At 45.4% G+C, this 17,204-nt stretch overlaps 1 annotated feature.

Annotated features, from left to right (window-relative positions):
• Window positions 16,348–16,854: an enhancer, noted in NCBI's record as "H3K4me1 hESC enhancer chr20:47054573-47055079 (GRCh37/hg19 assembly coordinates)". NCBI's record gives its function as "activates a minimal SCP1, AML or CMV promoter by ChIP-STARR-seq in naive H9 embryonic stem cells {active_cell/tissue: H9 hESC(naive)}" and the evidence as "EXISTENCE:reporter gene assay evidence [ECO:0000049][PMID:30033119]".

The raw sequence follows: 17,204 nt of genomic DNA on the forward strand, positions 1-17,204 counted from the left end.
CTAACCAAATTCCATAGTGTAAAAAGCAATGATTTGGAAATTGGAAGGCCTGGACTCTGACTTGGGGTCTGGAATTCTCTCTCCAGGTGACCTTGGGTGAGTCACTTCCCCTCTCTGGCTCTAGTTTCCTCCTCTCTTCAAATTAAGCAGCTGCACTAGATGATCCTTAAGGCCTCTTCCCTGTGAACTTTGTATGGTTCAATGAGAACAATGTATATGATGGGGCTTTCTGAACTCTAAAGTGTTTAATGCTATGATTTGTTTGGTAGATGGTAATGGATTCTTCTTATGATCATCTATGTCCATTTGGTTACGTCCAACACTTTCCTTTTTCTCACACCCCACACCCAATCCCATAAGCACCTCCTAATAGCTCTGCTTCCAAAGTAGATTCTGAATCTGCTCACTTCTCTCTTCTCTACCCTCTGCCACCCCCACCTGCACCCAACCTGCCATCATCTCTCATCCCCAACCTCAGGACAACTGCAACAACCCTGGCTGGTCACCTGGTCTACCAACCCCTCATAATCCATCCTGCACTCAGCAGTCAAAGTCAGTTTGTAAAAGGAAAATAAGACTATGTTGTTCCCTTGCCTAAGACTCCCAGTGGTTTCCCCAAGCTTTTAGAGTAAAATCCAGTCTCCTTACTGTGGCCACAAAGCCATGCATGATGGGCTCCTTGCTGCTTCTGAAACATGCTAAGTTCTTTCTAGTCTCAAGGCTTCTGCACATACTTTTTTCTGCCTGGGACACTTAGCCCAGATGGCTGCTTCTCACCCTCCAGGTCGCAGCTCAAGTGTCACCTCCTCTGAGAAGCTTTTCACAACCGCCCTGTCCAAAGGAGGTGTGTATCTCCATCACTCTCTATCCCCACTCTGATTTATTTTCTTCAAAGCACTCACTGCAATCTGAAATCATCTTATTCACTGTGTGCTTGTCTCTTGCTGTCTCCCTACTAGAACAGAAGCTGCATGAAGACAGGGGTCTCATCTGCCTTGGACATCACTGAATCCTATGCACGGAGCACAATGCCTGGAACGGGAGGAGCTCAATGGTTACTGGTTGAATTAATACACTGAGGAAATGGATCAGCTGTAGACAACCTTACTTTGTTCTCTCATATCTCTTTCCCACCTGCTGGCCCTGCCTTTCCATTTAAATCCAGAGCCAAGCACACATTCCTTACTATATATTTTTTTGTACTGATTAAAATGTTTCATAAACTTTTACCACATATGGATCAGGGCTTTTAGTTGCTAATGGAACCTACTCCAGCCAGTTCAATTAGGAAGGGGGTTTATTTATGAAATCCTATTGGGTAGCTTGGGCTCATGCCTACCAAAGAATTAGACTTGCAGGCCACACAGCCAGGAAACATGGCCCCCAAATTACACACCCCCCAATCATAACTGGTCCCCTGATGTCTCTGGTGCCTTCACCCAGCACACACATCCCAGCCCATGCTGCCAATAGCACAGGTATGAGACACTGAAGATGTATCCAGAATCCTGCAACTGCCCCCTGAGGGACTAACTGTAGCTCCTTCCATAGAAATCACCCATCAGTGGTTGGCAAAAAGGAAGAACAAATGTCCACTAAACTCTTTAGGCAAATGATCACAGAGAGCCATTGTGTCCTCCTAGCCACTGCGCTCATCACACCAGAGGGCTGTTCTGAACCATCCCCAGTTACCCCAGTTACCTTCTGTTTGAGTCAAGGTTCTCTAAAGAAACAGGAACACTAGGGTCTGTGTGTGTGGAGGGAGACAGAGAAGAGACGGGGAGGGAGGGAGAGAGAGAGAGAGAAAGAAAGAGAGAGAGAGAGAGATTTATTGTAAGGAGTTAGCTCACATGATTATGGAGGCTGATAAATCCCAACATCTGTCGGGTGAGTTGCAAGCTGGAGACATAGGAGAGCCAATAGTCTTCTAGTCCAAAAGCCAGCAGGCTCATGACCAAAGAAAAGACAATGTCTCAGTTCTAGTCCAAAAGCAGGAAACAGCTGAGTTCCAGTTCACAGGCAGTCAGGCTGGAGGAGTTCCCTCTCACTCAGAGAGAGTCATCTTTTTGTTCTATTCAGGCCTTTAACTGATTGCATGCGGCCCACCCTCCTGAGACAGGCAACTGGCTTCACTCAGCCTAATGATTTAAATGTTAACCTCACCAAAAACACCCTCATAGCATCACTCAGAATAATGGTTAAGCAAAATATCTGGGCACTTTATGGTCCGGTCAAGTTGACACATAAAATTAACCACTGTCTCTTCTAGGGCTGGTGCAACTGACAGTGATAAAAAAAAAAAAAAAAAAAAAGCCCTCCAGGCCTCTGAGCTTTGAACCTGTTTCCCTTAAAGCAATGAGGAGATGATTGAACTAGTGTTGGAGGAGTCACACTTGGAATCTAAGTGGCAGTGCCTCAAAAAGGGTTATAGGCTCAACCTCAGAGCCTTGATGATCCAGATCCCACCCGTGATGGGGAATGGGCAGAGAATGGCTCCCTTAATACTGCAAGTGAGGTAGGAGATCAGCAGGACTTGTTTTCCAAGCACAGATCATGATCCTGCTGATCGAAGCAGGATGCAGTAAAGCAACTGGCCAAAACCAGCAGATGGTGGCAAAAGCGATCTCTAGTTGCCCTCACTGCTCAATAGCATAAAGACACTCCCACCTCCTACCAGCGCCAGGACAGTTTACGAATGCCATGGAAACTATCCAGAAGTTACCTTATATGGTTCTGGGAACCGTCTGCCCCTTTTCCAGAAAATTCTAAATAACCCACCCCTTAATTAGCATATAATTAAAAGTGGTATAAATACAGCTAGCCCTGGTCTTCAGGGACTGCTGCTCTGGGCTGCTCTGCCTATGGAGCAGTCCTTCTGCTGCACACTGCTGCTCTAATAAACCTGCTTTCTTTCACTCCTGGCTCACTCTTGAGTTCTTTCCTCCACAACACCAGGAACCCTCCCAGGCTGAGCCCCAGTTTTGGCATTAACCTGCACCACAAGAAACAAAGGTGTCCCTCCCTCCCTCCCTTTCTTCCTTCCCTCCTTCCTTCTTTCTTTTTTCTTAGGGTGTTCTAGAAGGGCAGAAATCCATCTTCCCTCCCTCCCTTCCTCCCTCCCTTTCTTCCTTTCCTACTTCCTTCCCTCCCTTCCTCCTTTCCTGCCTTCTTTCTTTTCCTCCTTTCCTCCCTCCCTTCCTCCTTTCCTCCTTCCTTCCTTCTTTCTTTCTTCTTAAGGTGTTACAGAAGGGCAAAGTCCATCTTCTGTTCCTTCCTTCCTTCCTTCCTTCTGTCTTTCTTCTTAAGGTGTTACAGAAGGGCAAAGTCCATCTTCTGTTCCTTCCTTCCTTCCTGTTTTCTTTTTTCTTCCTTCCACACACATTTAGAGACCATCTTCTAAATGTGAAGGAATGTCCTAGAAGCAGCAGTGAAAAAACAGACACAGTCCCGCCATCATGGGCATCCTGAGACTGTCCACCTGAGAGCTTTCTCTTACCCTGTGGCCAGAAATGCTGACAGTTGATGGCCCTGGGACAAGCCCTCGGCTAACGGGGCAAAGAAATTGGAGGATAAACATTCAGCTGGTAGAGGACTAAGCTCCAGTTGCCCACAGTGGCAACACCCTGTCTCACTTCCCCACTCCCCTGTTGGTATTTCCTGGGACCACCTCCCACATAAACTATTATATTAGGTTGGTGCAAAAGTAATCACGGTTTTTGCATAATGGCAATTATTTTTGCACCTACCTAATACTTGCACTAAAATCCTTGTCTTGGGATCTGCTTCTGGGAAACCAAAGCCAGGTGGAAAGCAATTGGGAACATGGGATAACTTGATAGAGAGTGGGCAGGGGTGAGCAAGGAGCTGTCAGAGAGGGCAGTCCAGGAGGCCTCCCTGAGGAGGCAACCTAGGAATAGGAGCTGCCGGGTGAAGATGCAGGGGAAGGGTGTCCCAAGCTGAGGAAATGGCAAGGCCCCAAATCAGAAACGAGCTTAGCATACTGGCCCATACGCCTCTAGGATGAATCTAAATGGGACAAGCACTAATAGTATTAATAAGAATAGGAATAGCAGCTAATGCATGCATAGCACCAACTGCAGGCCAGGCACTGCTCTAGGGACTTGATGCACATCCTCCCAGCAGCCTCAGGAGACAAGTGTGATCATTGTCCTCATTTTCTGGGCGAGGAAACCAAAGCACAGGGAGATGACGCACTTGGCCCAAAGTCACCCAGCTAGTGGTGGGGCCAAGATGTTACCCCCTCCGCTGATGATGGCAGTGGCAGGTGGGGGAGGTAGGGCTCATAATGTATTCACCCCTGATGCCTACTGTGCCCTGCACAGAGCTGCACATGGACACACTGCAGAACCATGAGCAGTAATAACAGGGGCATTCATCCAGCACTAACCCTGTTCCAGGCTCCCTTCTAAGAGTTTTAAATGGACCAATTCATCTAATTCTCACATCAACCCTATGAGGTGAGGGCTGATTGTCACCATGTGACAGAGGAAGAAACTGAGGCACCTAGAGGTTAAGTCATTTGCCTGAGGTTGTGGGCCGGTGAGTGGCTGAGCCAGAATTCAAATCCAGGTTATTTGACGCCAGAGCCCTATTCATAAATGCTGTAAGCATGCACACACTTGTTGGTGCGCACATACACACATGCACATGCATGCACACATAAGATATGGGAATTTAACCCCAGAGAGAGAAGAATTTTTCTACTGGTCACATTGTTTGTAAGACACAGTACCAGGATTTGATCACAGTCAGCTGATTGCGGAGGCTCCATTGGAAGGGAAGAAAGCAGATGATCAAATTTTGAAATTACAGAGTTCAGGATTTCATGCTACCCTAGTCCCTACTTGCATGTGATTATAAACCAAAGAGCTGAAATTCACTCACAATTAGTAAGAACACCCTCACGGGTCTCACTGACGATGCTCTGCACAGCCTGGAGGTCAGCACTCCTCCCGCAGTGGTGTTTGCCTGCTGCAGGCTCCTCATCTGTGAAACGGAGTGGACAGGGTCAGCCCTCTGCAATGGCTGTTTGGAGCACGACATAACCTGTGTAAAGTGCTTAGAGCCATGCTTGGCACACAGTAAGTGCTCAATAAATGTTTGCTGATATAACAAATGCCCCATGCATAAGTAGTTTACTCCCTAACTCCCCAGCACGAGACAGACCCTGTGTGCCCTCCATAAATAAAAGCTATGGCTGAAATCATTGTTTCTAAGCCTCATTTTTCCCAGTGCCCAAAGGAACAGTTGCACGTCAACCAGAAAATCCTCCCAGCCTTTGTTTTGCTGTGCTGACCCATAGAATCCAAGGTCACATGATTTTTTCTTTCTTTTGTTTGCTGTTTCTTTTCTGTATGGACCAACAACAACAAAAAGATAACAACTGTACCTGGGTTTTGTGTTTTAATAATTTTAATAATGCACAGGAAATTGGATGGCTTAGGGACTCTGCGTCAAATGAGTGAGTCATCCTTGTCAACAGACCAAGTGGAAGCATGAGACTCAAGGGCAGGAAAGAGAAGGGCCCAGGGGATGGAAATTGAATAGTGTGATGGGCTTTAACAATCTAAATTAAATTAAAACTTGTCAGTGCTTTCTTCATATCACAAGTTTCCAGTTAGAGAAAGAATGGGCCCCTCCAAACAGTGAGTTGAAAAGGATGAATTTCATTCTCTGCATCCCCAAGACCAACGAGATGGGCCCTGCCTGTCTCTTCCACGACAACTCCACTCTTCTCTCATTCTCGGCCACACTGGCGCTGCTGTTCCCCAAGCATACCCGCATGGCTGTCCCCACCTCCCAGACTTGAACTTGCTGTTCCTCTGCTGGGACCTTTGCATGTCTGCCTCATCCCCCACATTCAGGGCTTAGCCCTTACAGCAGTCAGAGGGGCTCTCTGCCCCCACTCTGTATCTAAGGGGCCCACCCTGTTGTCCCCACCCTCCACTAGTCCATGGCCCTGTTACATTTTCCTCATAGCCCTCATCACTACTCTATTTTGGATGCATTCTCAATGTGCACTCCAGGAGGGCAAGGATCTCATCTTTCCTGCTTGCCTCTCTCTCCCAAACACCTAGAACATACCAGGCACATAGCATAGGTACTGCATACATCCTTGTTTGGTGAATGAACAAATGGATGAATGAACATCTTGGTCACTATCTCTCCAGAGCCAAATAAACCTTTGTAACTGAGTCATTTGCCTAGAACTGCTGAGTGCTCTTCCTTGAGGCCCATATGAACCCCCATCTTGCTGGTTACTTGACCTGATTGGCAACAGCAACACCCCACAGCAATGGGCACTGTCCATTCTCCACCCCACATCCTGGCAGCCCTGGGCCTGCCAGTGTGAAGGCACAGGAGGCAGCCATGGGAACGCGCCACGGAAGTGAAAAACTTTTCCCAGCACCATTTCTGTGGCCTAGAAAGGCCCTAATGATATTTTCTACTTTTCTTTGCTGAATAAATTGGGCAGCAAATTTCATGCACATGTGCTCAGTGATCACCTATTGATGCCTTGAACACAGATGTTTGATTCTGGCTTTTTTGGAGCCGTTGCTAGACTGAGAGTTCCATGAGGGCGAGGGTCGTGTTGCATGCATCTTCATGTCTCCCTTTCATGAGGCAGGAGCTCAGATGACATCTCAGGTGTGACGTCATGTGATGTCATGTGTGTTCTGTGAGAGGGACATGAAAAGCCAACAGAGTCATCTAGAAAGTTTGGTCACTCTGGGGATTTCCCAATCAGAGCAATCACTTTTTCTTAAGCAGCAGATCTCTGGTCTTACTTTTTTGTTGTTATACAATATTCATTTCTTTTTTTTTTTTTTTTTAAGAGACACAGTCTTGCTTTCAACCAGGCTGGATGGAGTACAGTGGTATGATCGTGGCTCACTGCAGCCTCAACCTCATGGGCTCAAGATCTCCTCCCACCTCAGTCTCCTGAGTAGCTGGTACTACAGGCACAGGCTAACACACCTGGCTAATTTTTAAACTTTTTGTAGAGATAAAGTTTCACTATGCTACCCAGCCTGGTCTTGAACTCCTAGCCTCAAGTGATCCTCCCACCTCAGCCTCCCAAAGTGCTGGGATTACAGACATGAGCTGCTAGGCCCAGCTTGTTAGGAAATAGTTCAAGCCTACAGAAAAATATAAAGAAGAATGTAATGAATATCTGTGATCCCATCGAACCAGCTCAGTGAAAGCTTATCATGCTATATTTGCTTCAGATTTTTTTTTCAAAATAAAACACATGGAATGATTAATGTCCCTGGTGCCCCTTCTACCGTCCCTTCTCCCACCGCCCACAGGTCCACACTTGGTGCTCCTTGTTCCTCTCCAGGGCTTTATGCTTTGCCACACATATGTGCCTGTAAACATTACACTGTCCAGTTGATGTGTTTAAACCATACATGAATGGCTTGTCACTTTCAACAGCTTGCTTTCTTATTTAAACTTAACTCCCATAACACACTCACTGGATGTATATGGAATAACCAAATAAAAGCAGACAAGCTGTATCATGACAGGACGTGACAAGTAGGAGGGAGGGTAATGAAGTGGGGTACAAGGATGCAGGGGAGACGGGGGAGTGCTCAGGGAAGTGCTATTTGAGAAGGAGACATTTGAGCAGAGATCTGGATGCAGTGAGGGTGTAAATCTGGCAAAAGGCGACCAACCCGTCCCAGCTTTCTGGTGACTTTCCCAACACTGAAAGTCTCAGGTCCCAAAAAGCTCCTCAGTCTCAGGTGAACCGGAGTACCCAGGGAAAGAATGTCAAGAGTAAGAAACATGGAGTGGAAGGGACTTGTGGTGGAGCGAGTTTGGCCTGTTAGAAGAAGGGCCCCCGAGGCTGAGTGGGGCAAGGAGGGTGGGCAGGGAAGCAGAGGCAGATTTAGTCCACTAGGGAGTGTGGGCAGGTACATGCACAGTGTATGGGAGCTGACGTGTGGGTTAGATGCCACTGTGAATTCAAATTTTACTCCCTGAGATGATTATTTTCCTAATTTAAAGAAATTATCATATAGGAAAGTTGACATTTTTGGTACAGATTTCTGTGGATTTTTTTTTTTTTTTTTGAGCCTTTGTCTTTTTCTGTCACCCAGGCTGGAATGCAGTGGCACAATCTTGGCTCACTGCAACCTCCGCCTCCTGAGCTCAAGCGATCTTCCCGCCTCAGCCTCCTGAGTAGCTGGAATTACAGGTGCCCGCCACCATGCCTGGCTAATTTTTGTATTTTTAGTAGAGGCGGGGTTTCACCACGTTGGCCAGGCTGATCTCAAACTCCCGACTTCAAGTGACCTACCCGCCTCAGCCTCCCAAACTGCCGGGATTACAGATGGGAGCCACTGCACCCAGCTGATTTCTAAGGATTTTTGACCCATGTAGAAATTCATATAACCACCACCACCATCAGGATCCAAAAGAGTTTCAACCCCCCAACAATTGTCCGGTGCCATCCCTATAGTGAACCCCTGGAAACTGCTGATCTGTCTCCATCACTATAACTTGGTTTTTCTGAGGATGCCAAATAAATAGGATCATAAAGTACATAATTTTGGGACACTGGCTCTGCCCCTCAGCATAATGCCTTTGAGACACAGGCCCATGGCTGCAATGTGGTAATGGTTCCTTCCTTTCCACAGCTGAGCGTCATTCTGGAGTATGGGCATCCCAGTTTATTTATCCATTCACTCGTTGTTGGAGAACATTAGGGCTGTTTCAAGCTTCTAGATTTTTGTGTCTTCTGGTTATTTTTGAGAATTTCACAGCAATTACACTCTATATCTGGTAATGAGTTTCAGAAAAGTGCTTTAGATGGAAGTTCTGCTCTGTATTAGGAATATGTCCTTCACTGATTAGCATATAAGGATTTTAGGGAGGAGATTCTCTCCCCTTCCCCATCTCCTGATGGCAGACCCCGAATTTCTCAGGATGTTCACTTAAAACAGCATATTTCTAAGCCTTGTTTCTAGCTCTACTACGTGAGTGAGGTAATAGTTTCTGCCCTTTCCTTTTAAATGAGCCATAACTATTTTTTAAAATAATACATTTCTCATATATGTCTTCTTTTGAAAAGTGTCTGTTCATGTCTTTTGCCCACTTTTTAATGTTTTTTTTAATTGTAACAAAGATATGGAATCAATCTAAATGCCCATCAGTGATTGACTGGATAAAGAAAACGTGGTACATACACACTGCAAATACTATGCAGTCATAAAAAAATAAATAAATAATAAGATCATGTCCTTTGCAGGGACATGGATGGAGCTGGAGGCCATTATCCTTAGCAAAGTAACACAGGAACAGAAAACCAAATACCACATGTTCTCACTTATAAGTGGGAGCCTAAAGATGAAAGCACATGGACACGTAGTGAGGAACAATACACACTGGTGCCTTTCAGAGGGTGGAGGGTGGGAGGAAGGAGAGGATCAGGAAAAATAACTAATGGGTACTAGGCAGAATACCTGGGTGATGAAATAATCTGGACAACAAACCCCCATGACACAAGTTTACCTATGTAACGAACCTGCACTTGTAGCTCTGAACTTAACAAACAAACAAACAAACAAAAATACGTTTTATTATGTAAGTAACCTTAAAATGAGAAAAAAAATCCAAAGATCAAAGACTGGTTCCTTCCATTCCAAGTAGCCTGACAAGAATATCTAGGAACCAGGAAACCCTAGCTTCCCCCGCAGTCCAGATGGAAGGAATTGGGCTTACAAAAGACCCCACAGGGTCTCACTGCTAAGACTGTGGTCTGTTCTGTTTATGAGCTTATTCTGTCAAGGCCTGTTGGGTTTGGTTTTGTTTAAGGTTTAACAGGATTTCAGACTTAGTGGTGGTCTCTTTGGATTTTCTCCTTCTTTTTCCTTTTGATGCTTAAACATACCCCCACGACACCAAAGAAACAACCATGGCTGAAAAGACTAGAATTACACAGGATGTAATTCCCTTTCACATAAACGCTGAAGAGTGTCACCCCTGGAGCTGTGACTTTGCTGCAAGGAGCCGAAAAATGAGGATTTGTTTAAATAAAGACACAGAGTAGGCTACATGTAAGTAGAGTGTGGACTTAAGGACCCCTCCTTGGGGTTGAGGCTTCAAATCCTAAGCTCCCAAAGGGGACCATTTGAAAAACAAGAATAATTTCTGTTTGGCCAAGTACTGCACTACATAGCTGCATTTGAGAGAAGAGGACTGAGTCTTTTTAGGTTTGCGAATTCCAGTTTTTCCTTTTTTTTTTTTTTTTTTTTTTTTTTAGACAAGGTCTTGTTCTGTCTTGCAGGCAGTGGTGGCTCACTGCAGCCTTGACTTCCTGGGCTCAAGTGATCCTCCAGCCTCAGCTTTCCATGTAGCTGGGACTACAGGCATGCGCCACTATACCTGGTTAATTTTTTTTATGGTTTTTTTTTTTAGTAAAGATGGAATCTTGCTATATTGTTCAGGCTGGTCTTGAACTCCTGGGCTCAAGTGATCCTTCCACCTCAGCCTCCCAAATTGTTGGGATTACAGGCCTGAGCCACCACGCCCAGCCCTTCAGTGTAGTGATCTATGGTGGACATCATACCCTTCTGGGGGCATTTTGGATATTGTGGGGATGGTTTTGGTTGTGTTTTGATTGGGGACACTGACATTTATTCAATTATTCAATAGGAGTCCAGGGACACTAGAATTCTGCCACATTCAGGACACTCAGACACAACAAAGTCCCATGACTTATCCATATCCCTTAGAATAATTCATGAGCCTAGAAACTCACTCCATTTTACACAGAACTCTAGGTATTGATGGCAGCTTTCAAAGGACATTGAACATAGAGTTTGTAGTCTCTGCCCACAGACACCACTGTTCCTTTTTCCCTAACTGCCTGTGCAGAGTGCTGCTGAGCCGTGTGGCTTCCTGCTCTTTGATTGGCCTACTCATCACTGGAGGTGCAGACGTCTCGCTGCTTCTGGGGTTTGTCTAGTGTAGCTACACGTAATCATTTTCACATATTTATTATAAGTTCATTTTATAGAAGTTATTATTTTGTATTATCTGTATTATTTTATAACAAGCTTGTTCCCTTTTCCCTCTTTTATATTACAATTAAGACATCATCCTGATTTGCTTTTAGGTTATACATATAGGTAATTCCTATTATTTTTGAATTTCATTTTAGAATAGTAAAGCATCATCATAAGATATCATAAAATACAGTTCAGTCTAATAGGGCTGAGGATCGCTGTTCCCGTGGAACTCTGCTATGGACGTTTGCTAAGAGGCCCAGAATCGGATTTTTCCAGCAAGAACATCCTGATTTTACTGTGGGGAATATTTATCTACTGGACCCAGTCTTGACGACCTTGATGGGCGGTCTTAGTTTGGCAAAGGTTGTTTGCACTGACATTTGAAATCCACCAGAGACCCAGTGCCAATCAGCATGAGAAGTCATCTTCTCAAAGCATCAGTAATTTATGCAAAACAGCACATTCCCCTTCTATTCCATTTTAGTTCATTTCTCTGTTCTCCTTCCAGCTCTTTCCATTCCTCCAGAAAGGTCTTTTCTGTTTAATTCCTGGGTAGAGATGGCTCCTTGTACCCCAGTGTCCTTCCCTTCCTTCAGACAGTGATTTTTAGTTGGGTGCTTGGTCACCTAGGCTAAAGATTGCTGTTCCCAGTCCCCCTGCAGGAGATGTGCCACCTGACCACGATCTGTCCAAAGGGATGTGAGAAGTGAGGGATGCAGGTTATGTGTACCCTTAGAGATGAGTCCTGCTAGCCGGACTCTGTGTACCCTTAGATATAAGAGTCCTGCTGGCAGGACTCTGAGTACAGAAAGGAAGCATCTTGGAGCTTGCTGCCAAAGGTCCTAGCCTAGTGATGGCAAAACAGGAAGACAGGAGGAGCTGGGGTCCCTGACAATGGAGCCGCCACAGCAGCCCTGGGCCATTGCTTTTGACTATTGTGTGCTAGAGAAATAAACTTCTATCTTAACATACTGTTATTTTGTGTGTGGCAAAGCGTGTGCTCATCACAAACCCATTTCTTCTTCCTGGATTCACATGGAGACCACATTTCCAGCGTCCTCTGTATCAGGTGCAGGTATGGAGTGTAAGCTTTCATGGTGGATGCTTCAGGGCATCCAGAACAAAGATGAACGCCCCACAGAGCTATCTTGAGAGCCACAAGCTGAAGGTGGCAGTGCCACAGGAGAGAAGGATCCTGGGTCCCCAAACCACAGGGGGGCACTCCCTACACACAACCAGGAGCATTCGCTTGGACAATTAGAGGAACAAGAAACAAACCTTTATTTGGTAAAGCCACTCACATTTTGGAGTTTGATACCTTGTATGACCTTAATTAATTCAAGTTTATGTCCCAGCTCTCTACATCCTAATCAAAGAGCCCTGAGCACACAAAAGAAAAAGATCTAGGTCTTTCTGGAATTTCTGCATAAAATATTCATAAATTAATTGGTAGAAAGAAACCTGTCAGTCATCCACTTGCACAGCAAATACCCATTGAGCTTCAACTTGAGCACAGTGGTGACAGAATGGAAAAGGAACCTGTAGGGTCCCTGCTCTCCTGGAGCATATGATGGGGACAGTCAGCGGACAGGTCAGTACTGCAGGGATTTTTATGGAAGGAGGTGTGTTAATCGAATTTTCGTGAAACAAATCACATTCTGACTTCCTGCCAATGATATAATTTTATTTTCTGCTTTAGAAATCTTTCTTGGTGTAAAATGATGAATGCTTTCATAATATAAGCAACAAATCCCCACTTTTTCTTGTTTCATCTTCTGTAAGTTCTGGATTCTTTGTCTGGTTTTCTAAAGGCAGTGCACTCTGGTTCAGCAAAGGTTGTTTACATTGACATTTTAAATCCACCAGAGACCTATTGCCAATCAGCATGAAAAACCATCTTCTCAATGCATCAGTAATTTATGCAAAACAGCCCATTCCCCTTCCACTTTGTTTCAGTTTATTCTGAGGCTCTGGCCAGGCCTCTGTCAAGCCTGGTGGCATCTTTCAGGCGTGCACAAATGACCTACAGATACAGGGGTCTCCATTCTCATGGTGAGACTGGGTGAACTCCCAGATGTTCCCAATGCATCCCTTCTGGTAGGTTTCTCCAGGAAGGTACATCCTGCAGAGCCATCCTTTGGCCTGCACCATCTCATTCTGAATTTCTGGCTCAGAAGTCAACAAACTACAGCCTGTGGGCCAAACCTGATTACACTTGATTTTGTAAATAAAGTTTTATTGCAACACGGACACACTCATTCATTTACATATTGACTGTGGCTGCTTTTGCAATAAAATGGGGAGAATTGAGGGCAGAATGGCCTCCACAACCTAAAATATATATATATATTTTGTCCAAGATGGAGTCTCACTCTGTCGCCCAGACTGGAGTGCAGTGGCATGATCTCAGCTCACTGCAGCCTCCATCTACCAGGTTCAAGTGATTCTCCTGCCTCAGCCTCCTGATTAGCTGGTACTACAGGCATGCACCACCATGCCCAACTAATTTTGTATTTTTTTTAGTGGAGACGGGGTTTCACTGTGTTGGTCGGGTTGGTCTCAAACTCCTGACCTCAAGCCATCGCCTGCCTCGGCCTCCCAAAGTGCTGGGATTACAGGCAAGAACCACCACACCCAGCCAAAATACTTTCTATTTTATACCCTCTGGTTCTTTTTAGAAAACGTTTGCCAACTACTGACCTAGATAATTAACTTCCTTGGTTTTGCCTAATTGCCCTGGTTTGGGTAATTCTGTAAGTGTGACCTCTGGCTCCTCCTTACCCTGCATCTTGAAGCTGAACTTGAGTGGATGGAGTTTCTAGTTCTTTAATGGGAATTTGGCTCAGAGTCAATAGAAAGAAAAGAAAAACACACTTTTTAAGGTTTTATATTTTATTAAATTAAATCGGATTGAAAACAAAAAGCAACAGTCCTCAGGTCCTATGTTTTCACCTTCAGTCCATGCCTAGGGTTGACCACTTTTGATAGTTTCAAATTTTTTGGTGCTTCTGGAACTCTAAATATTAACCTTCAAGTTCTAGCTCTAGACTTGTCAACTTCAGAGAGTGGCTATTGACTAGGAAGGCTGACATCCTGCCAATGATATAATTTTTATTTTCTGCTTTAGAAGTAGTGGAGCTTATTAGTTCACTTCTCTGAAGCTAAACAGTCTGGATTTGAAATTCCAATACTAATACGTTCTGGTAAATAAGTTATTTTACTTCTTTTGACCCTCTATTTTTACGTCTGTAATATGGAATAATAATAGAAATGGTCTCATAGTGTCCTTGAGAAGACTGCATGTGTTAATTCACGTAAAACCAAAGTGAAGAGCTTCTTGTATATAAGAAACAGTCCGTACATGATGATTCCTTTGTTTTTTCTTTCACATTTTAAGTAACACTTGAATATCTTTTTTTTTTTTGAGACAGGGTCTTGCTGTGTTGTCCAGGTTGGAATGTAATGGCATGATCATGGCTCACTGCAGCCTTGACATCCTAGGCTTGAGCGATCCTCCCAGCTCAGCCTCCCAATTAGCTGGGACTATGGACCTGTGCCAGCATGCCCAGGTAATTTTTTAAATTATCTGTAGAGAAAGGTCTCCTTATGTTGCCCAGGCTGGTCCCAAACTCCTGGGCTCAACGAATCCTCCTGCCTTGGCCCCCTAGACTGCTAAGACAATAGGCATGAGCCACTGCGACCAGCCAAACTTGAAAGTCTTTCTTTCTTCATCCATCTATGGACATAACCCTTGGCTCCCCAGTTACCAGATGATAATACTATAAATGTACACAGTGCCTACTTTATGTCAATTGCTGTCCTGAGAATTTGACATAAACATTAATTTACTATAATTGGCAACTGCATCCTCCAGTTGCTCAGGCCCCAAACCAGAGAGTCATCTTGGACTTCTCCCTTTCACTCAGCATATGCACTCCATCAGGAATCCTGCTGGCTTCATCTTCGGAATGCATCTCAAATCCAGTCACTTCCTACCCCGTCCACAGTGCCACCCAAGTCCTGGTCATCTCTCACCTGAATTATCACAACAGCCAAAGTACATGCTAGCATCCTTGTAATGATCCACAAGGCACTTACCCCTGAGCCCTGGAGCCCCTCTGTGCATTGCCTTCCATTCCCATACCATTCCACCTACCATCTCCCCTCCCACTGCCCCCTAGCACACTCCCTTATCACTCCCCAGTCACTCTGTCACTCCAAGGCAGCCACAGAGGGCTCCTGCTATTCCTGCACAATCCAGGCACACCCGCCCTCATGGGCTCTGTGCCTGCTGTCCCTCCACCTGGAATGCTGTTCCCGCCTATAAGAAAGTAGCTCACTCTGGTCGGGTGTGGTGGCTCATGCTTGTAATCCCAGCACTTTGGGAGGCCGAGGTGGGTGGATCGGGAGGTCAGGAGTTCGAGACCAGCCTGGCCAACATGGTGAAATCCCATCTCTACTAAAAATACAAAATTTAGCCGGGTGTGATGGTGCATGCCTGTAATCCCAGCTACTCAGGAGGCTGAGGCAAGGGAATCACTTGAACCCAGGAGGCAGAGGTTGCAGTGAGCCAAGATCGTGCCATCGCACTCCAGCCTGGGCAACAAGAGCAAGACTCCATCTCAAAAAAAAAAAAAGAAAGAAAGAAAGAAAGAAAGAAGGAAAGAAAGAAAGAAAGAAAGAAAGAAAGAAAGAAAGAAAGAAAGAAAGAAAGAAAGAAAGAAGGAAAGAAAGAGAAAAGAAAAGAAAAAAGTAGCTCACTCCTTCTCCCCTTCAGGACTCTGCTCAAATGTCACCTAATCAGATAGACTCTCTAACTGATGTATCTAATAGCAGACCACACCATCACTCTCCAAACTGTTGCCCTCTTTAATTTTTCTTAAAGCCCTATCCCTTTTGGACACTATATTAGAAATCTTAGTTAAATCTTTGTTCCCTGCCCCCCTGCAGCCTGGGTCTGGTTTGCTCATTGTGAAGCCCCCATTGTTCCGCCAGAGCTGGTGCACATAGAAACGCAGTGAGCATGGGTGAGTAAATGAGTGAAGGGATCCAGCCGTTTGCTCCCTGCATCCTGTCATCATGCAACACAGTCACAAATGGAACTCCAGACAGCAAGACTTCTCCGCGTGCTGCCTAACTCATTCCATGAGCCACCAGTGGCAGGAGGATCACAATTTTGGAAGCATCAATCCAGCCTCAGGTGGTTTCTACCTCGGGGCCCCGGTCTGCTCACCTTAGTGGACCTGCCTGATGCTGGTGGAGTCTTATTTCCATCTGGGGCCCCTGCACACACTTCGCATCTGGCTGTCCCTGCACACAGGGCCCTTCACTGCCTAAAGCTGTGCCCACCCAGGACCACAACCAGCTTCCGGGGCTCCTGCCCCTGCTGGTCTGCCCCCTCCCTCTTGCTCCCTCAGTTCAGGGCTCTGGTCCTGACAGCTGTCCTCTTAGCTGGAGATGAGAACACAACTGGCATCCACATTCCACCTGGATTTGCATAATCAGGCACATTTACTGCCCTCCCTCACTCTGTGCCATAATTACTGACTTGCTCTGCATTCAACACTTTTCAACTCCATACACGTCCCTTCTCCCTCCTGCATTTTTAAGGTGGTTATTACAGATATGGCAGACACGGCTTTCCCAGACATGAATCTGGCTTTAAAAATGCAAAAAGATCTTTATGCCCATTTATGTAATTATTTCTGCCTCTAAAACTGGGGGCACCAGCATGTTTAGTCACTTGAGGGGAGGGGAAGACCTGTAGTGTATTCTCTACAAGCATTTGCCTTTTTAAAAAATGCACAAGACCCTTGTTTCCTGCATTTTCCCAAGAGGGGAAATACCTCTTGGTCCCTGAGAGTCAGACAGGGTGCCTTGGCCAGGATCCCATGACAGCTCAGTCCGACAGAAGAGCTTGCAAGGAAGGATGATGCTACCGTCTATGGAAAAGATGAGTGTGCAAATTCTCTAGATCGGGCTTCTCACTTTTTACTGTAACCCTCGGTTAGAGATATGTGTTTTATCAGACATGGTGTAAACACACTTGTGCACTTAGAGAGACAGAGAGAGAGAAAAAGCGAGAGTTAGCACAGAAAACAACAGTTATCCTTACCACATACAGGCACAGGGCATTTTCTCTTCTATTGCATTCTATCCTATCAA

The sequence above is a fragment of the Homo sapiens genome, chromosome 20, assembly GCF_000001405.40.
Source record: "Homo sapiens chromosome 20, GRCh38.p14 Primary Assembly".
In the NCBI taxonomy this organism is placed as follows: domain Eukaryota; kingdom Metazoa; phylum Chordata; class Mammalia; order Primates; family Hominidae; genus Homo; species Homo sapiens.